The sequence below is a fragment of the Homo sapiens genome, chromosome 20 (genome assembly GCF_000001405.40).
Source record: "Homo sapiens chromosome 20, GRCh38.p14 Primary Assembly".
Lineage (NCBI taxonomy): Eukaryota > Metazoa > Chordata > Mammalia > Primates > Hominidae > Homo > Homo sapiens.
In genome coordinates this window covers 52,487,757-52,508,197 of record NC_000020.11, presented here as the reverse complement: position 1 = coordinate 52,508,197, position 20,441 = coordinate 52,487,757, and the positions used below count along the sequence as shown (strand labels likewise).

The 20,441-nt window shown below is 39.4% G+C and overlaps 2 long non-coding RNA genes across 4 annotated transcripts in view; one reads left to right on the top strand and one right to left on the bottom strand.

Annotated features, from left to right (window-relative positions):
• LOC105372666 (uncharacterized) overlaps positions 1-20,441 on the bottom strand; it is a 483,513-nt gene that overhangs the window by 185,958 nt on the left and 277,114 nt on the right. The gene's annotated exons all lie outside the window — the stretch shown is intronic.
• On the top strand, positions 7,607-20,139 carry LOC124904931 (uncharacterized). Its single transcript, XR_007067654.1, has 2 exons — positions 7,607-7,838; positions 19,936-20,139. It is a non-coding gene; the product is annotated as an uncharacterized LOC124904931 (long non-coding RNA).

Here is a 20,441-nt window from a genome sequence, read left to right as displayed (position 1 = left end):
TCATTGGTATTTTGATAGAGATTGCATTTAATCTGTAGATTGCTTTGGGTAGTGTGGACATTTTAACAATATTGATTCTGCCAATCTATGAAAACATGAAGTATATTTCCATTTTTTTGTTATCCTCTTTCTTTCATCAATGTTTTATACTTTTTATTATTGAGATCTTTCACTTTTTTTGTTTTCTTCCTATGTATTTTATTTTATTTGTGGCTATTGTAAATGAGATTGCTTTCTCAATTTCTTTTTCACATTGCTTGCTGTTGGCATATAGAAATACTACTGATTTTGTATGTTGATTTTGTATCCTGCAACTTTACTGATTTGTTTATCCACTCTAATAGTTTTTTGGTGGCGTCTTTAGGTTTTTCCAAATATAAGATTATATCATCTGCAAGCAAGGATTATTTAACTTCTTATTTTCAAATTTGATGCCTTTTATTTCTTTCTCTTATCTGATTGCCCTAGCTAGGACTTCCAGTACTTTGCTGAATAATTATAATAAAATTGGGCATCCTTGTTGTGTTCCAGATCTTAGATGAAAAGCTTTCAGTTTTTCCCCATTCAGTATGATATTATTATGTTGAGGTACGTTCCTCGTATACCCAGTTTTTTGAGGGTTTTTATCATAAAGAGATGTTGGATTTTATCAAATGCTTTTTTAGCATCGATTGAAATGATCATGTGGTGTTTGCCCTTCATCCTGTTGATAGAGTGAATCAAATTAATTGAATTGTATATATTGAGCCATCCTTGCATCCCTGGATTAATCCCACTTGGTCATAACAAATGATTTTTTTTTTTTTGATGTGGTGTTGAATTCTGTTTGCTAGTATTTTATTGTGGGTTTTTGCATCAATCCTCATCAGGGATACTGGACTGTAGTTTTCTTTTTCTGATGTCTTTTGTTTTTGGCAGGAAGATAATACTGGCCTTGTAGAATGAGTTTGGAAGTATTCTCTCCTCCTCTATTTTTTGAAATCTTTGAGTAGAATTGGTATTAGTTCTTTAAAAGTTTAGTAAAATTCAACAGTGAAGCCATCAGGTCCTGGGCTTATCTTTGCTAAGAGACTTCTTATCATGCCTTCGATCTCATTACTTGTTATTGCTCTGTTCAGATTTTGAATTTCTTTACGTTTTAATCTTCATAGGTTGTATGTGTCTAAGAATCTATCCATTTCTTCTAGGTTTTCCAATTTATTGGCATATAGTTGCTCATAGGAGCCTCTAATAATACTTCGAATTTCTGTGTTATCAGTTGTAATTTCTCCTTTTTCACCTCTGATTTTATTTATTTCAGTCTCCTCTCTTTTTTCTTAGGCAAACAGTGTGTCAATTTTGTTTATCTTTTCAAAAAAAATCAACCACTGCTTTCACTGATCTTTTGTATTTTTTGGTTTCTTTAATTTCTGCTCCAATGTTTATTATTTATTTTCTTCTATTAATTTTAAGTTTGGTTAGCTCTAGCTTCTGTATTTCTTTGAGATGTATCATTAAGTTGTTTATTTGAAGTTTTCCTGCTTTTTAGATGTAGGCACTTATTGTTATAAACTTTCCCCTTAGTGCTGCTTTTGCTGTATCCTATAAATTTTGATGTGTTGTGTTTCTATTTTCATTTATTTCAAGAAATTTTTAAATTTCCTTCTTAATTTTTTCATTGTCCCACTGGTCATTCGGGAGCATATTATTTAATTTCCATGTTTTTGTATAGTTTCCAAAGTTCCTCTTGTTGTTGATTTCTAGTTTTATTCCATTGTGGTCAAACAAGACACTTGATAGGATTTCAATTTTTGAATGTTTTAAGACTTGTTTTGGGGCTTAATGTATAGTCGATCCTTGAGAATGATCCATGTGCTGAGGAGAAGAATTGTGTTCTGCAGGTGTTAAGGGAAATGTACTGTGAATATCTATTAAGTCCATTTGGTCTCTAGTGCAGATTAAGTCCAATGTTTCTTTGTTGATTTTCTGTCTGGATGATCTGTTCAATGCTGAAAGTGGGGTGTAAGTCTCTAGATATTATTGTGTTGGAGTCTAGCTCTCGCTTTAGCTCTAATAATAATATAATATTTGCTTCATGTATATCTGGGAGCTTTACTGTTGGGTGCATATATATTTATAATTGTTGTATCCTCCTGCTGAATTTACTCTTTTATGTAATGACCTTTTTTGTCTCTTTTTATAGGTTTTTCTCTTGAACTCTATCTTGTCCAATATAAGTATAGCTACTCCTCCTCTTTTCTAGTTTTCATTTGCATGGGATAACTTTTTTCCATCCCTTTATTTTCAGTCTATGTGTGTCTTTATAGGTGAACTGTGTTTCTTGTAGGCAACAGATCACTGGGTCTAATTTTTTTCATCCATTCAGCCATTCTATGTCTTTTGATTGAAGAATTTAGTCTAGTTACATTCAATGTTATTACTTATAGGTAAGAACTTACTCTGCCATTTTCTTATTTGCTTTCTGGATGTTTTGTGGTCTTCTCTTCCATCTTTTCTTCTTTTCTGTCTTCATTTTAGTGAAGGTAATTTTCTCCGGTGACATGCTTTAATTTATTGCTTTTTATTTTTGTGTATCTGTTGTATATTCTTTGATTTGAGGTTACCATGAGGCTTGTAAATATCTTATAACCCATTACTTTTAACTCATGACAACTTAATACTGACTGCAAAACAAACAAACAAAAAGAAAACTAATAAAAACTCTACACTTTAATTTCAACTCCTGCTTTTTAACTTTTTGTGGTTTCTATTTACATCTTATTAAACTGCCTATGTCTTGAAAGGTTGTTGTAGTTATTATTTGTGATAGTTTCATCTTTTAGTCTTTCTACTCAAAATATGAGTAGTTTACACACCACAATTACAGTGTTCTAATATTCGTTGTTGTTCTGTGTATTTACTATTACCAACGAGTTTTGTGCCTCCAGATAATTTCTTATTGATCATGAATGTCATTTTCTTTCTGGCTGAAAAACTCCCTTCGGCATTTCTTGTAGGACAGGTCTGGTGTTCATGAAATCCCTCAGTTTTTGTTTGTCTGGGAAAGTCTTTATTTCTTCTTCATGTTTGAAGGATATTTTCACCAGATATACTATTCTAAAGTTTTTTTTTTCCTTCAGCATTTTAAATATGTCATGCCACTGTCTCTTAGCCCATAGGTTTCCGCTGAAAATTCTGTTGCCAGAACCATTGGAGCTCCTTCATATGTAATTTGTTTCTTTTCCCTTGCTGCTTTTAGGATCCTTTCTTTATCCTTGCCCTTTGGGAGTTTGATTATTAAATGTCTTGAGGTAGTCTTCTTTGGGTTAAACCTGCTTGGTATTTCATAACTTTCTTGTACTTGAATATTGATATCTTTCTCTAGACTGGAGAAGTTCTCTGTTATTATCCCATGAATAAATTTTCTACTCTGATCTCTTTCTTTATCTCCTCTTTAATGTCAATAACTCTTATATTTGCCCTTTTGAGGCTATTTTCTAGATCTTATGGGCATGCTTTATTCTTTTCTATTCTTTTTCTTTTGTCTCCTCTATGTATTTGCAAATAGCTTGTCTTCAAGCTCACTAATTCTTTCTTTTGTTTGATCAGTTCTGCTGCTGGAAATTTCGATGCATTCTTCAGTATGTCAGTTGCATTTCCCCGCTCCAGAATTTCTGCTTGATTCTTCTTAGTTATTTCAATTTCTTTGTTAAATTTATATGATAGGATTCTGAATTCATTCACTGTGTTATCTTGGGTTTCATTGAGCTTTTTTAAAACAGCTATTTTGAATTGTCTGAAAAGGTCACATATTCTGCTCCCCAGATTGGTCACTGGTACCTTATTTAGCTCCTTTGGTAAGGTCATGTTTTCCTAGATGGTCGTGATGCCTGAAATAGGGGTCTCAGGACTCTGATTAGTGTCCTACTCTACTGTGACTGAGCTGGTATACAAGTTGCCAAGACATAGTCCTCTTTACTTTCCCCTCTCCTCTCCTAAATCAGAGGGAAGGAGTCTCCTGGAGCCATGAGCTGTGCTGCCTGGGGTTGGGTGAAGGGTGATTAAGCACTCTGTTGGCCACCCCCACTGGTGTCTCAGTAGGCCACATGCACCTCAAGTACACTGGCTCCAGGACAAGCACAACACCAGGACCTGCCCAGGAATTTCAGTCCTTGTGGCCTAGAATGCCTTTCAAGTTCATTTAGTATGCTGGAGGATTTTGCTGTGGTCATGGAGATTGCCTGAACTTTGGTCTAATCACTAGGATGGGCAATTTCTCTGTGACTAGGGCTGGTCTAAATGCTCCTTCAGTGGACACTGGCCGAGTTCTGCCCCATATTGCTTTCCACTGTGACAAGGCAGCACTGAGTTCCAATGCAAAGTCCCACAGTCACCACACTCTTCTTCCCCCAAGTGCACAGATGCTCTCTCCACACCCCAGGGCAGCTGCCGCGGGATGTAGGAGGAGTGGTGTAGGTGATTCAAGACTGTCTTTCCCACCCTTTTTGGTGCCTCTTTCCTTAACATGGTGTTAAAACCAGGTACTGTGATTGCTCACCTAATGTTTGGTTCTTATGAAGGTGTGTGGATAGTTGTTTAATTTGGTGTTCCTTTGGGCAGATGATTGCCGGAAGCTTCTATTTGGCTATCTTTCTTTGTCTCTTATGCCTTCTCCTGAGTCACATCTTTAAGCAAGGCATATTAATGTAAGAGGATTTTTCCCCTTTTAGAGAGTGAAATTGAAACTAGTGGAATGGTAAGAATATGGGCTTTTAAGTCAAACTCTTTCAAATTCAAACACTACCCCTTATTAGCTTGGTAAGCTTGGGCAATTTTATTAACCTCTCTGTGTCTGTTTCATCATCTATACAACGGATATAATAGAAGCATCTACATCCATCTCACAGTTATTAAAATGAGTTTATGTAGTGGCTTAGAATTGGCTTTTCTATGCCACAGTGTAAATGCCCAGTAAGTACTGTTCATTTTTGTTTAGAGTTGTGATGAGTATCAATTCAGGAGATATCTTGATATCTGGTTTTTATTCTAAACCACTAGTTTTAGAAAATAATTATCCTGACCTGGTTTCCTTTTTGGAAACCATTTTATATGTTTATATAGTTTTAAAATTATATACTGGATTTCTTCCCTTCTCTATGCCACTTTCTCAATCTTTCGCTATGTTTCCTGCCCTAACCTCCCAAATAAATAGTTTTCTTTGAAATCCCTCAAGTTCTTCTTTTGGGATTAATCCAAAAAAATCTAAAATATAAAAATATATTTAAAAGATGTCTATCTACAAAGGCACCATATTAAACTAGGCATAAGAAGGTTACTCCAGTTGTGTTCAGCTTCTGCTTTATTAAGTTTAGTTCTAATCCCTCTGCAGATGGGATTTGCAAGACTTATCTTTCTAAATGGCAAACGTTATGCAAGCAACAGCAAGACCCTACCCCAGCACAGTTCTCCACTCCAGGCTCTGATATAAGCAACACACTGGGTTAGAGGAAAACATATTTAAAAAAAAAAAAAAATCAAACAAAACCCAGGTTTTCTGGCTACTAAGTGTCTGGGGATCCCTGGCCTCTTTAACTGGACTCAGCAGCCAAGAAAAAGCTTGTCTGGGAGGTGATCTGCTGACCAAGAGTTCCGACTGCATTGTTTCTGGACCATTCTCCATCCCTGCCCCCTCCCTTTCCTATGCTTAGGAATAATAATAATAGTCAATACCTCCTGGGAACAGATCACTATTCTAAGCACTTTACGTATATTCACGTACGTAACCATTACGACAACCTCAGGAAGTAGTCAGTTATTATTATCCTTATGCTATATTTGCAAAAACCAAGAAACACCAGAAATTGGGACAACTTACTTCTTTCAAGTACAGTTTGGTTGGCCACTTGTGTCACAGGTAGTCATTCAAAACAAACAAACAAAAAACCCTTATATTTCAAAAAGCAGGCTTTGGGCAGGCAAATTGGAGATGTTTCCTAAATATTCCCCCATCCACCCACTCACCCACAAAAACTCACTGCAACCCCAATTCAGAGTCACTTAACCAAACACAACCCCAAACAAAGCTTTCGAAGAGCTTCTGCCAACCCCATGGAGATATCTTTGGATATTCAAGCAAAGAAAAGGAGAGAAAGGTAGAATATGCGAGAAAAAGGAAATGCTTTGTCGAACCAGCTAAAGCAGTCGCTCCACAAACTGCTTATCAGGTGGTTTTCTTTTTAATCAAGAAAATCTTCGGAGATGTCAGCCTAACAATAAAATATATCTGCTTTCATTGGTAGGCTATTCCCATCTTCCTTTAACACCGAGTAACACCCTCACTTTCTCGCTTTTCATTGTTTTTTTAACAGATTCTGAATTTTTTAACAGATTCTGAAATAAGTCAGTCTAAGATGAGTGTTATCATACCACCCTGGATAACATTCTATAAGCTGAGCCTGCATTTGTTCTGCATCTTGAGGAATAGAGGTATACCCTGGAGGAATGCACTGGATGCTATGGTTAATTAAGTAATTTACTCAATCAAGTTTAACAGTGGTTTTAACTTTAATGAGATCATTACATTTTAATATGGAAATAACAGCCGTGTATCCTTAACAATCCCCACAGTCCGCGAACCCACCTCCCTCTTCCGCCCACTTTGCACCAGGGCTGATGTTGATTTGTGAACCTGAGCACCTAAGGGTAACATCCAGAACTTGTAATACACATGTCTAGGGCCCATTATGGATACACACATGTGAACCGCTGTTCTGGCTTTTGGTGTCCCCTGCTATATACTCGAAACCCACGCAGGGCTTGTCGCTCATGGTAAGAGCCAAAGTCTTAATAATGGCAGAGTACTTTCTAGATAAAGGGAAATAGAAACTTTCGACACTGAAAATTGGTGTAAGGAAGGCACAAAGAGAGAAACAAAAGAAAATAGCCACATGGGCAAAGTGGCTTTCAACTGTCCTAGGGAGACGTACCCTTAGGCTACCAGCCTCAACTTGGGTTGCATTTAATTGGGATCCCGCAAAGGCCAGCAAATCATTAATGTAATGGCCTTCCAAGCTCTTATTGAGAACTTTTATTATCCCAGATACAGTACTTTGGAGATTAACTAGGAAAAGTTTTACAAGACGGTGAAGGTAATGAATCATGAATTCTGTAAGGGTAAACCCAACACTCTGAAACCAAGTACAGCTGTCTTATATTTGCTCTGTGTGCATTTTGCTACCCATAATTTTGTCATCAATTTTCATCTTTTGTTTAAACATATTTGTCTTTTGGACAAGATAGGTCATATTTCATAGGTTTGATGAATTTTCTCCTTGGTCCAGTTTTACAGAATTTGCACTTAATTAATTGCCCAACCTTTAATTCGACAGACTGTTTTTAATGGCTATGTAGTTTCAAAAGCATATACACAGTGGAATTTCGAAAAAGTAATTGTTTTTGTGTCACTTCCAAAGAAAGTCGCAATTATTAAAATGTGTAAATAATTTGTCAAATGCGCAATGGGCAATAATTAGGAAGATATCAAATAAACCTTTAATGGATATTTTTAATTTGTTGTTCAGCAGGAATATTTAAATAATGCAACAAAATATGTCATTTTTCTCCTCAGGACTATAGAAGCCAAATTCCAATGTGAAAATGCACCTTTCAATTGCACAGACTAGGTCATAATGGAGGTGACAGTCATAAAAGATTTTCTAGCTCTCAGCAGAGCTGTAAACCGGGACCCCTCATCCAGGCAGACAGCACAGAATCTGAAAATCTGCCTATCAAAAGCATCATTCAAGCCACAAGGCTCTTCTGTTCCTGGTAAAAGGCAGGCAGGAAAAGAGGAGACAAAGGTCAGTTGTTGTCATTTCTTTATAAATGTGACGGTGCTGGCAGTTTGCAAGGGATTGCCATGTTTCCCTGGCAACTTTGTGTGTGTGCAGATGCGTTTAGTACATTTTTTTCCCCTTGTTATTTTCAGACCGTCTTTTTGTACTGTGGACTATTTCAAATGTATTCTCCCAGTTACATGGGCCTTTTTATTAAGAGGATTAAGAGGCTGACATTTTTTGGAAGGGAGGTCAGCTGAGTTTAGGGTGGTAAAAATCAGAGTTCAGTCTTCAGTCAGATTACACATCAAAAGCAGGTGGGGAAGAGCTGGGGTAGAGAAAACATATTAGACCAAAGGAAAATTGAACGTACTCAGTTTTTAGAAATTGGAACCTGAGATACCATGAATTCCTGAGACCGTACCTTGTCATCTCTTTTAAAGAAATGTTAAGCAAATTTTCCGAGCAGACTCCACCTGCCCTCTTAGATTTGGTGATTGTCTGAGAACCTGGAGTTAGTATTTAATTTGGGTTCATCTGTTCCTCCTTCTTGTTTATTGGCAGCAGGGAAGGGACACTTGGAAATAGCTCTTGCCAAGCTCTGCTCCTCATTAGTTCATCCATAGCATTTAATGGGCCCCTATGAATTACCAGGCATTGTGCCGGACACAGGGTGGGGTCAGTGAACACTTTCTGTAAGGGGCACAGTACTAAATATTTTAGCTTTTTGGGACCATATCATGTTGGGAAACTACTCAACTATCTATGTATGTTGTGCAAAAACAGCCATAGACAATGCATAACCACATAACTCTGGTGGTGTTCCAATAAAGTTTGCCTATGAGCACTGAAAATTGAATTTTGTAATTTTCATGTGTCATGAAATATTGCTTGTTTTCAACCATTTAAAAATGTAGACTGGGTGCAGTGGCTCACCCTTATTATCCCAGCACTTTGGGAAGTCAAGGCAGAAGGATTGCTTGAGGCCAGAAATTTGAGACCAGCCTGGGCAACATAACAAGACCCCACTTCTACAAAAAAAAAAAGAAAAATTAGCCAAGCATGATGGTGCATGCCTGTTGTCCCAGCTACTTCGAAGGCTGAGGCAGGAGCATTGCTTCAGCCTGGGAAGTTGAGACTGCAGTAAGCCGTCATCACACCACTGCACTCCAGCCTGGGCAATAGGGCAAGAACTTGTCTCAGAAATAAATTTAAAAATAAAATAAATAAAAAATAAAAATGTGAAGAGCAGTCTTAGCTTGCAGATACAGCCCATGGGCCATGGTTTGCTGACCCTGGGTATAGATGCACAGGTTGTCCTCTCAAGGGTCTGACACTGTGGAGGGGATGGACAGTAAGGATGTAAAAGAACACATAAACAAGAAGGAAATAAAATGAAGCAACAAGCTAAGGAATGACTGAGGATGGCGGCCGCTGTAGATAGAGTTGTCAGGAGGAATCTCTCTGGGACCTGAATGACAAAGGGAAGCAGCGTGTTGTTCACCTGGGCATCTCTGAGTGGACTGCTAATTCTAGAAGTTGGCTACACTTTCACTAATTATTAATTCCTCAATGTACACTGCAAACGCCAGAAAACAGCAATGGATTCACTCAACGCTGTTATCAAAATTGTAGATGATAAGCATATGCCAGTAAGAATCATCATACCTATTAATATTGACAGATTTCCAGGTGCCGTGTGGAACATCTAACCCCCAGCAACTAGGAGATAGGAGTTTTAAATATGCAGCACAGTTTTTCAAAGCAGTTTTTAATTTTCTTTAAATTGGAAGTAGTACCATGACCTGAAGTCATTTTTACTCTCGTTTCAATATTCCGTCTAAATAATGGTGCACTGTCAAATTACAACCTTGAATTGACAGGGCCTCTTTTATTTACATCCTATTGAACTGCAGTAACTTTTTCACAGCTGCCAAAGTATTTTTTTCAAGCAAAACAAAAGTATTTCCATGAAAGTTCTCTTGGGGAAAACACAGAAGCAGAAAGAGACTCACTGCTTAATTTGTCTTTTTATTTTATCTTATTTTATTTTATTTTATTTTAGACAGGGTCTCACTCTGTTGCCCAGGCTGGAGTGCCGTGGCACAATCACAGCTCACTGCAGCCTCAACCTCCCTGGGCTCAGGTGATCCTTCCAAGTCAGTCTCCCGAGTAGCTGGGACTACAGACATGTACCACCATGCCTGGATAATTCTTCTATTTTTTTGTAGAGATGGGGTTTCTGCATGTTGCCCAGGTTGGTCTCAAACTTCTGGGTTCAAGTGATTCTTCTGCCTCGGCCTCCCAAAGTGTTGGGATTACAGGCATGAGCCACCGCGCCTGACCCTAATTTGTCTTTTAATGGGAACACCATTCCTGCTCTTCTCAAGCATTGCTGGCTAATATCAACCTCAATGCCAAAGGATTGCATAGCACTTTTTTTTTCTCAAATAGTTTTAGAGTGGGGCTTCCCATAGTTCCAAAACAGGAAGCTGATTCAGAATTGCTACTAGGAGGTACTATAAAGTTGAATTCAAGATTTCTAACTTGGAATAATCTCTAATAGTGTTAGGGGTTAAAGGGTTACTTTATTGGTTAGTTGGTTGCTTTTAAATTAGCAACTACTGATATTTCTGTCAAAAGGCTTTGCTTCTCTTACATAGGACTTATTTCTACCCGTGTCTTTTCCAAAATCAACCTCACACGTGTGAACACACACACACACACACACACACACACACACCTCTGCATCCTCCAGATTCTCTTAAGGATCAATCTCTGTGAGCTCTTTCGAGATCCCACTGCAAATTTTCCTCCTTTTCAAAGTATTTCCACTATTTTTAGAGGAAACTACAGGAATTCTAAGGAAGACCTGCATCCTCAACTTGGCGCCTCAGTAACAGTATGACTTGAAGCCATTGTTTCATATCTCTGCCTGTAAAATGGGCTGGTAAACACTGGCCCCACCAAATCACATAGCTCTTGTTAAAATCAATGACATGACATATGCAAAGATGATGAGAGAACAGAAAATGCTTCTAGATATTATCATTATTATCACCTACTGTGATATCACCAACACCTGGGTCTTCAGTCTAAACGAGACCATGTTAGTTTGTGCTTGTTGACATGTTGCCTGTAACCAAGTTCAAATTTGCCTATAAACTCCCTGGGAATAAGATTGGGCTCATCATTTTTTTCATATATTTTGTGCAGTGTTGTGCTCACAGGAGATCCCAAAATGTGTTCCTTCACTGGGAGGCTAATAATCGCCAAAGACCTTTCTCAGTGGCAAACACTGTGATGTCTACACAGAATGCTTGCCGTCACTAAAACAGGGCGGCCTTCCCCAGACTTCTGCTTCGAGACAGAGTTCCACTGAGTGCATTCCTCAGAACTCAAGACCCAGAGATATTTTCCAAAAATAAGCGTCTTGTGGTCACACAGTTAGAGAGTATGCCTTATTGTACCCTTCTTAGAAAGTTATCAGGTCTGCCACCACACCCGGCCTGTCATCCCAGCACTTTGAGAGGCTGTGGGTGGATCACAAGGTCAGGAGATCGAGACCATCCTGGCTAACATGGTGAAACCCCGTCTCTACTAAAAATATAAAAAATCAGCTGGGTGTGGTGGCGGGTGCCTGTAGTCCCAGCTACTCGGGAGGCTGAGGCAGGAGAATGGCATGAACCAGGGAGGCGGAGGTTGCAGTGAGTCGAGATTGCGCCACCGCACTCCAGCCTGGGTGACAGAGTGAGACTCCATCTCAAAAAAAAAAAAAAGAAAGAAAGAAAGTTATCAGGTCTGGTGGTATGTTAAAGAGTCACAGAATTTCTGCTAAGAGGTAGGCACCTTTTATTTACTCTGAAGGGTCACTAACCTACTTGAAGAGAGATGCTTTCTCTCCATTAGCACCCATTTGAATCCCTGCTAAACAGATGTCCCTTCGCAGTCACTTTGGGAAATGTCCCAGAAGAGTGTTGCAAGTACAAGTCATAAAAATCAGCTTCGTGGGCTAAAGCAGGGATTAGCAAGCTGCAGTCCATCGAGCAAATCTGGCTACTGCATGGTGTTGTGTGGCCTGCAAGCTGAGAATGGTTTTTCCACTTTCCAATGGTTTAATAATAACAAAAGAAGAATTATATTTTGTGACACAAGAAAATTATATGAAATTTAAACCTCAGTGTCTGTAAGTCAAGTCCTTCTGAAACACAGCCATGCCCATTGTTTTGTGTTTTGTCTGTGGCTACAACAGCAGAGTAGAGTAGCTGCAACAAGAACTCCATGGCCCTCAAAGCTGAAAATATCTACTATGGCTCTTTATAGAAAAAGTTTGCTCACCCTGGTTAAAGCATCACTTTTTTTTTTTCTAAGTGACAGAGTCTTGGTCTCTTGCCCAGGGCTCAAGTGATCCTCCTGCCTCAGCCTCCCATGTAGCTGGGACCACAGGCACGCACCACCTTGCCCAGCTATTTTTTTTTTCTAGAGACAGGGGTCTCACTTTGTTGTCCAGGCTGGTCTCGAACTCCTGGGCTCAAGTGATCCACCTCAGCCGCCCAGAATGCTGGAATTACAGGCATGAGCCACCTTGCCTGACCTAAAGCATCACTTTTAACAAATGAAATAGAAAAGGATAGAAAATGCCAAAGTGTATCACACATGTGGGAAGGATAATTGATGTTTCATGGAGCACTGGCTTCAGCAAAATGTCTATATATTATGCATGCACGTGCACCCTGGGTCACAATATAAAATGTATTCCTTACTGTGAATCACAGTCCAATTTTTTTAATGTTTCTAAAATCATATTAGAACCTGCCTATGACTTATGTTTATAAGCCAACAAGGTCTACCTAGGTAGCTAGAATGGCAAGCAAGAGAGAAAGAACAGAAAAAGAACTGATCGATGAATCCAGGTACTCTACCTGCCATGTCCACATAAAGCATTTCACTGAAGGTTCTTTTCAAATGAGGAAGAGATGAAAATGGTCCAAAAAGTAGTATCAGTGATGTACAGAATATGCATCCTTATCAAAGACTACTCTGAACCAATGTAAAACATTACTGTTCATTTAACCACAAAGAGGGCTCCATTCCTAAAATAACTTTCCATCCACCCATCCAACATATGGTCATCAAGTCTGGAAAGACCTGAAGTGAGGAGATGTAGGTGGCCTGGGGGAAACTAGCCCAGTAATAATTATAACAACTCAATCATAATGATTATAATAACTAAAATAATATGTATTCAATACCTATTAGTAGGGATTGTACTAAGCACATTTATTTCATTGAGTCCTGAAAACAACCCTATGATGGGGGGATTATCATTATCCCTATTTTCCAGTTAAAAGACTGGAGGCATAAAGAGGCTAAATTACTTGCCCAAGGTCACCCAAGGAGTAAGAAGACAAGCTGGGATTTGAACTTAGACAGCAGATCTCCAAACCTACCCTTTTAACTATTTCATGACATTTTCTGGGCATTCATATATCTCATCAATTCATGTCTGCTGGAAAAAAAGAAAAACACTGAACCCGTTAAGTGATAAAGCCATAGAAAATAGGTTTCATTATGGAAATTGTCCTATGGAGAGAATGCTACAACCAAAGTAATAAACAACACCCAATAATACATGTACAACTTGATGTGGCTGGAAATGTAACTACACCAGTATTGAATTATCCCCAAATTTGAATTATAGAGGCGTAACTCAAATTACCCCCCTTGCCTGGTACCTAGCCCGAAAGACATATTTTTTTAATAAACATTTTGTGCTGCCTTGCCTCCTCATGCTGCACGCTGCCGTGTAAAAGCCACAGCCTTCCTAACGTGATTCATCAGAAAAATCAAGGGGGAAAAGAGTCGTGATCTGATATACTGAGCACTCTTAAATTACACAGCAGCCACTTCCCATATAGTGCAGGAGAAGACAGAAATGCGATGACTAAGTACGTCTCAGCCTGTCACGTCCGTGAACCAGGGAGTGGGGTAGTTCACTGAATCATGTTCTGGTAGCTCTGCATATCCATCGAGACACGAGGTAGCCAAGCCGGCTTGCCCGAGATGAAAGTCTGAGTAATTCAGAGGAGGCTGTAATTCTTTATAAAAAATACACTAAGTAGTTTTGTTGACTCCTACATGACATTTCCAAGGTGGCTGGGAAACCAGACCATTTGTTACACAGAATCTAGATCAATACAGTGTGTGGAAGAAGATGAGCAATGTTAAAAAAAAAATTTATTTAATTGAACAGGGGCTGAATAATTCCACACCTTACACATCTCCAATTTTATGTTTTAAATTTGAGATTGAGAAGGATACAGCAATACAGCAATACAGCAATACGGCAAAACACCAGAATCCTATTTCTCTTCTTAGATATGATTTTAAAAAGAGAACGCTTTTGTCTCATTTGAAAAACCAAAATATACTAAGAAAACAGTTGATTGCTTTTATCCTTTTCTTAAATTTTTTTTTAAAGTGACTGTCCTCACCGTCACTCTGACAGGAGTCTGAAAAATTAACACATCACTAAGACCATGTGAGATTTAACTTTTGATACACAACAAAGCGGGTTACTGCTGTGCTGGCTATTCTTAACCCACCTTGTGAGTGTACTTTTTTTATTGCTTTATACAGCATATCTGATTCCCTCTAAAGCACCAACTAAAAAATCTATCCAGCTGTCATTTGCTGCCTGGTAACATCTATCATCACTCAGCCTGGCAAGTCTAGTCTATGAGGCAGAGGGGAGAGGAGACAGGAGGCAGAGTCAAGGACTGTCACGTGGGATGGGAAAAAAAACTTGTCACAATTATTTATGACTCCTGCTCAGGCACATAATAGGATACATAAGCCTCTGTTTCGGTTTCAAGCACCTTCGCAAGGCTGCTCCCTTGTCGAAGCTGGGCGCAGGCAGCTCTACTTTACACACACAATTTCCTGAACAATGCCGGGCACTTGTGAAGTGACAGTGACAAATTTGGGAGTTGGTGGCTGTAGCTCTATGGGCTGTTAGGAGCAGGCGGGTGTCAGTAATCAGGAGAACTACCACGTGAAGCCCCAATGCCTCCACTCCCCAATTCCTTTCTCATGAAAGACTTCCTTCCTCTCCTTGCTTTCAACTGCCAGGACGCCTGTTTGGGGAATAGGAAATGGTGCATTCCAGCTTGTATTTTATTAGTCTAAGCCATATTTATCCTACTCAAGGAGGAGGAGGCTTCTGTGCTCATTTGTTTCTTCCCCTACCCGTCCCCAAACACACAGAGCAAGAAAACAGTTCCAAGCTTTCATCTGTAAGCATCCTCTGCGTTCACGCCCACTAAATATCCATGTTGCTGAACAATTGGTTCAATTAATTGTCTGCCTCTGGATGTATTCGCAAAAGCAAGTGCTGGATTAGAGGGTAATTTTTATCCAGTTCTGGAATCTCAGTCCTGCCACGAAGCCCTTGGCTTCAGTAGCCTCATAAGGGTCTAACTTTTGGCTCTTTGGAGAAACCTAAAGGAAACTCCATCAACATTCTCTATACCCGACAGACCATGGCAAACAGAAAGGCTGAGCCTGCAACGTTTAAGATAATTAAACACAAGATGAAGGTCCGGCCCAATAAGTGACTCTTGCACACGTTGTGACTCTAGCATGGCCCAACATTAACCGAGGTGCCCACAGAGTCCTCAGGCACCCTGGCATTACCTGCTCAGACTCTGCTGAAGAGAAATGGCAAAGACCTTAATTAAAGATAAGAGGAGCACGATGGCCTGTACATACTCTGGAAGCCAAATCAGAAATTAATGTAAGGAAGAAGAAAATCTGTGAATAAAAGCACCCAGAAACATCAGTATTATTCCAATTATCTGTTTAGAATTTAGTAAGCTGAAAAATCAGCCACCTTCATTTAGAAATATCACAGGAGGCCATAAGAAAATGTCCTTGTTTCACTGAATTAGTCCCAACCTATCATACATAGTGCATGAGAATGAAAATTTGATGATGTAATTACTACCAAATAATACCATATTGTGGGTGGAATTCTGCATACTACTGTCTTAAGACTAGAAGGGTATCTGTGTGAATTCAAGAAATGAAGCCCATAGGGATCATCCAGGAATCACGATCTGCCCAGGAATCATTTCTCTTGTGTCACATCCTCTCCTCTCTGCTGTCATCGCTCCTTCCCTATCTCCATCTTCTGGGGAATTGCAAAGTTGAATTCCACGGGCAGCCTTGTGCCTGCCTGTGTCTTGTCTACAAAGTGACCTGCTTTCACATGTTGAATTTAAATGTCTTTAGGGTGAATATGGATTCTCTAGATCACTAAAGACTTCATCATTGTCTCTTCTTTTTTTTAACTGTTATACTCTGCCTTTTCTTTTTCTAATTTTTATTTATTTATATATTTATTTACTTATTTATTATACCTTAAGTTCTGGGATACATGTGCAGAACATGCAGGTTTGTTACATAGGTATACACACATGCCATGGTGGTTTGCTGCACCCATCAACGTGTCATCCACATTAAGTATTTCTCCTAATGCTATCCCTACCCCAGCCCCCCACCCGCCGACAGGCCCCAGTGTGTGATGTTCCCCTCCCTGTGTCCATGTGTTCTCATTGTTCAACCCCCACTTATGAGTGAGAACATGTGGTGTTTGGTTTTCTGTATCTGTGTTAGTTTGCTGAGAATGATGGTTTCCAGCTTCATCCATGTCCCTGCAAAGGACATGAACTCATCCTTTTTATGGCTGCATAGTATTCCATGTTGTATATGTGCCACATTTCTTTATCCAGTCTATCATTGATGGGCATTTGGGTTGGTTCCAAGTCTTTGCTATTGTGAACAGTTCTGCAATAAACATACATGTGCATGTGTCTTTATAGTAGAATGATTTATAATCCTTTGGGTATATGCCCAGTAGTGGGATTGCTGGGTCAAATGGTATTTCTGGTTCTAGATCCTTGAGGAATCACCACACTGTCTTCCACAATGGTTGAACTAATTTACACTCCCACCAACAATATAAAAGCATTCCTATTTCTCCACATCCTTCCCAACATCTGTTGTTTCCTGACTTTTTAATTGTTTCCTGACTTTTTAATTTCCATTCTAACTGGCATGAGATGGTGTTTCACTGTGGTTTGCATCAATATTCTCTTTCTTATATTCAGCCCTCCCCCAAATGTATGTTACCCATTTAGCCTCTGAAGACAATTCATTTTGCAACAACTCTTACCTTTCTTTTCCTTTTTGATTATCTTCCTATGGCCCTTTCATGTATAGTATGAGGAAGTAGCCTTTGTCCACCACGTTCACGTGCACACACACACGCGCTTCACATTTCCAAACAGAAGAGGGACCACCTCTCCCGTACCTGCGCCAAAGTACTGTAACCTGAGCACCACCCGACCTCTGATGCCTCCAGGTTTCTCTATGCAAGAAGAATGACTTGCCTATCTGAGAAGCTGGTGATAGACCGGATGTCTATCACTTCTAGCACTCCCAGACATAGAGTCACTGACTTGGAATTCCTAACAAGCTTCCTGCTGGATGGTTCACATGACCAGCTCAACTTACAGTGCGATAAATACTATTATGTTGCAAACCACTCAGAATCATCCAGCTTCCACCCCGTGACTTTTAGAAACTCACTTATTCAACAGATATTTACTGTTGGGCCAGGGGTGGTAATAGAGTGGCAAGCAAGAACAACATAGTTTCTGCTCTCATGAAGTTTTCTGTAGGATGACACTTAAGTCACAGTAATGAAGTGTGCATCACAAAGCAAATACAAGGTGTGACAGTAAAAGCATCTGACACAGGAACCCGACTCAGTCTAGGTGATTTAATAAGTGACAGCTCAGCATGGTCCTTGAGAATAAGTGGGGGTTCTTCAGGTTGATGACTTGAGTGAGTTGCATAGCTTCACTGCTGTGAAGATTAAATGAGCTAATGTTGGTGGAAAGCACTATGAAAACTACTAAAGGGTTAGTTGGTAATGTGGCAAAATAGAGAAAGGTGACTGTCCACCCTCAATGTCACTAGACATACATACAGTTCAAGAGCTTTGGACTCAGATAAAGATGGGTTCAAATCCTGACCCTGACACTCACTCTCAACAGAGGTTAGGCCAGCTGGGCGGGGTGGCTCATGCCTGTAATCCTAGCACTTTGGGAGGCCGAGGCGAGTGGATCACCTGAGGTCAGGAGATCAAGACCAGCCTGGCCAACATGGTGAAACCCCGTCTCTACTAAAAATATTAAAAAAAAAAAAAAAACTTAGCCAGGCGTGGTGGTGGGAGCCTGTAATCCCAGCTACTCAGGAGGCTGAGGCAGGAGAATTGCTTGAACCCAGGAGACGGAGGTTGCAGTGAGCCAACACGGTGTCACTGCACTCCAGCCTCGGTGACAGAGCGAGACTCCGTCTCAAGAAGAAAAAGAAAACAGGGATTAGGCCATTACTTGTTTTCAGTCTCAGTGTCTTCACCTTTAAAAAGCAAGGTAATAATACCTGACTAATCAAATTATGCATATAAAACTCCCTGGTCCTACTGTCCCTGTCATATATGTAGAAGTGGTCAGTGAATTTAAGTTTGCTTTTTATTGTTACATCTGGAACCCCCAAAAAATGGCAAAAGAGGGATAAAAATATAATTAAGAATCATTACCTGGGAACCACCCAGACTTACAATGTATGGTGGATAATGAATGCCTCGTATTGCAGCAGCCAACTATGGCTCAGTAAACACTTCCATAACCATGGGCTTCTGGGTCTGCAAAAACCTGGTTAAGCAAGAAGGGTAGGTGCCTCTATCTTCATCTAATAAATGTGAAACCATGAACCAAAAAGCAAGTGGCCTATTCAAGAGTTTCCAAATGCTAGAGAGATGTGGAATTTGGGTATTCTGAATCCTAATGCTTTGCTTTTCAATCGCAACATACTCAACTCTCCAAGGTAATGATGGCCCCAGGGTCTGCCAACCCCCTTTGGGAAGGAATTGGATTACCTTATTCAGAGCCTGGGTCAGCAAATTCTGGCCCAAGGACCAAATCCAGCCCTCTTCTTCTCATTATAATTAAAGTTTTATTGGCACACAGTCACGCCCATTTAATATATTATCTGTGCCTGCTTTTGCACTGCAACACCAAAGTTGAGTAGTCATGACAGAGACCTTATGGGCAGCAAAGCTGAAAATATTTATTATCTGGCCCTTTACAGAGAAGTTTGCCAAGCCTGATCTATACCATTAGTAATATAATAACTCCAACACATGTTGCCAAACTCAGGGTGCAATAGGATGCTCAAGCTGAACCACCAATGCCAGAGCTAGTAAGAACAGATTTGTGCCTAAGGCAAGGTGTTCTGATAGTTTTCAGCACTGCTATTATTTAAAAGAGTTTTATAATTGTTTTTTATATTATTAAGAAATCCTTCTTAATTTCTTAAGAATTAAGATATTAAGAAATTATCCTTAATATAGAGCTACATTGTTTTAAAGTCTTACTCTATAAAGATATATATTGAATAACTTACAGTGAAATCATACACTGTCTGGGATTTTTTTTTGAGATGGAGTTTCACTCTTGTCACCCAGGCTGGAGTACAATGGTGTGATCTTGGCTCACGGCAACCTCTGCCTCCTCCCGGGTTCAAGCGATTCTCCTGCCTCAGCCTCCCAAGTAGCTGAGATTACAGGCACCCGCCACCACGCCCAGCTAATTTTTGTACTTTTAGTGGAGACGGGGTTCACCATGTTGGCCACGCTGGTCTCGAACTCCTGACCTCAGGCAATCCGCCCACCTCGGTCTCCCAAAGTGCTTGGGATTACAGGCGTGAGCCACTGCACCCAGCCTGTCTGGGATATTCTTTAAAATATACCAGGAAAAACAAGATGGGGAGTGGGCGGATTAGTGAGTCAAAGATGAAATAAAAGTGGCAACATGTTGAGGCTAGATGATGAGGTACAAGGGGAATTGTTATACTTTTCTTTTTACTTTAGTATGTGTTTGATAATTTCCATAATAAAAAGTTATACTTAAATAGGTTATTTTTAAAGTATTTTGTCAACTCTTTTTTAAAAATCTCATCTGACTGTAACAATGCATATTTTGTATTGTTGCAGAAAAACGTTTATGATCTGAAGATATGGCCCAAATCACCAACCACGCAATTTGTTTTCTGAGGAAAGGAAAGACCTGGTGCAACTTTATACAAAGAGCCCATCATTCATCCTTGATCAGGGATATTTTCTCCTCCCAGCCACTAATCTGCTCTCTGCTCTTACATTTGTACATTTTTAGAACGATATTAAACATCTGAAGAGTCATTCAGGGAGCTAAAGTTCACTGTGGTTTGAAGTCTTATAACTACAAAATAATGTTGTTCTAACTGATCTTTCACATCAATGCAGACAAAAGCACTTTGGTATATATGTTTAAGGCTTAACCCTATCAAAGTCAGGAGGTTCTGATTAGAGTATATTAGGCTTGACACGCTCAAATGGAATTAAATCAAAGATGGAGTTGCAGTTTCTATGTTTTAAGTATCATAACCTATACTTGTATATAATAATATTATAAAATAATGTTATTTTAATTTTGTTGATTAATAGAAAGAATATTGTCTTAT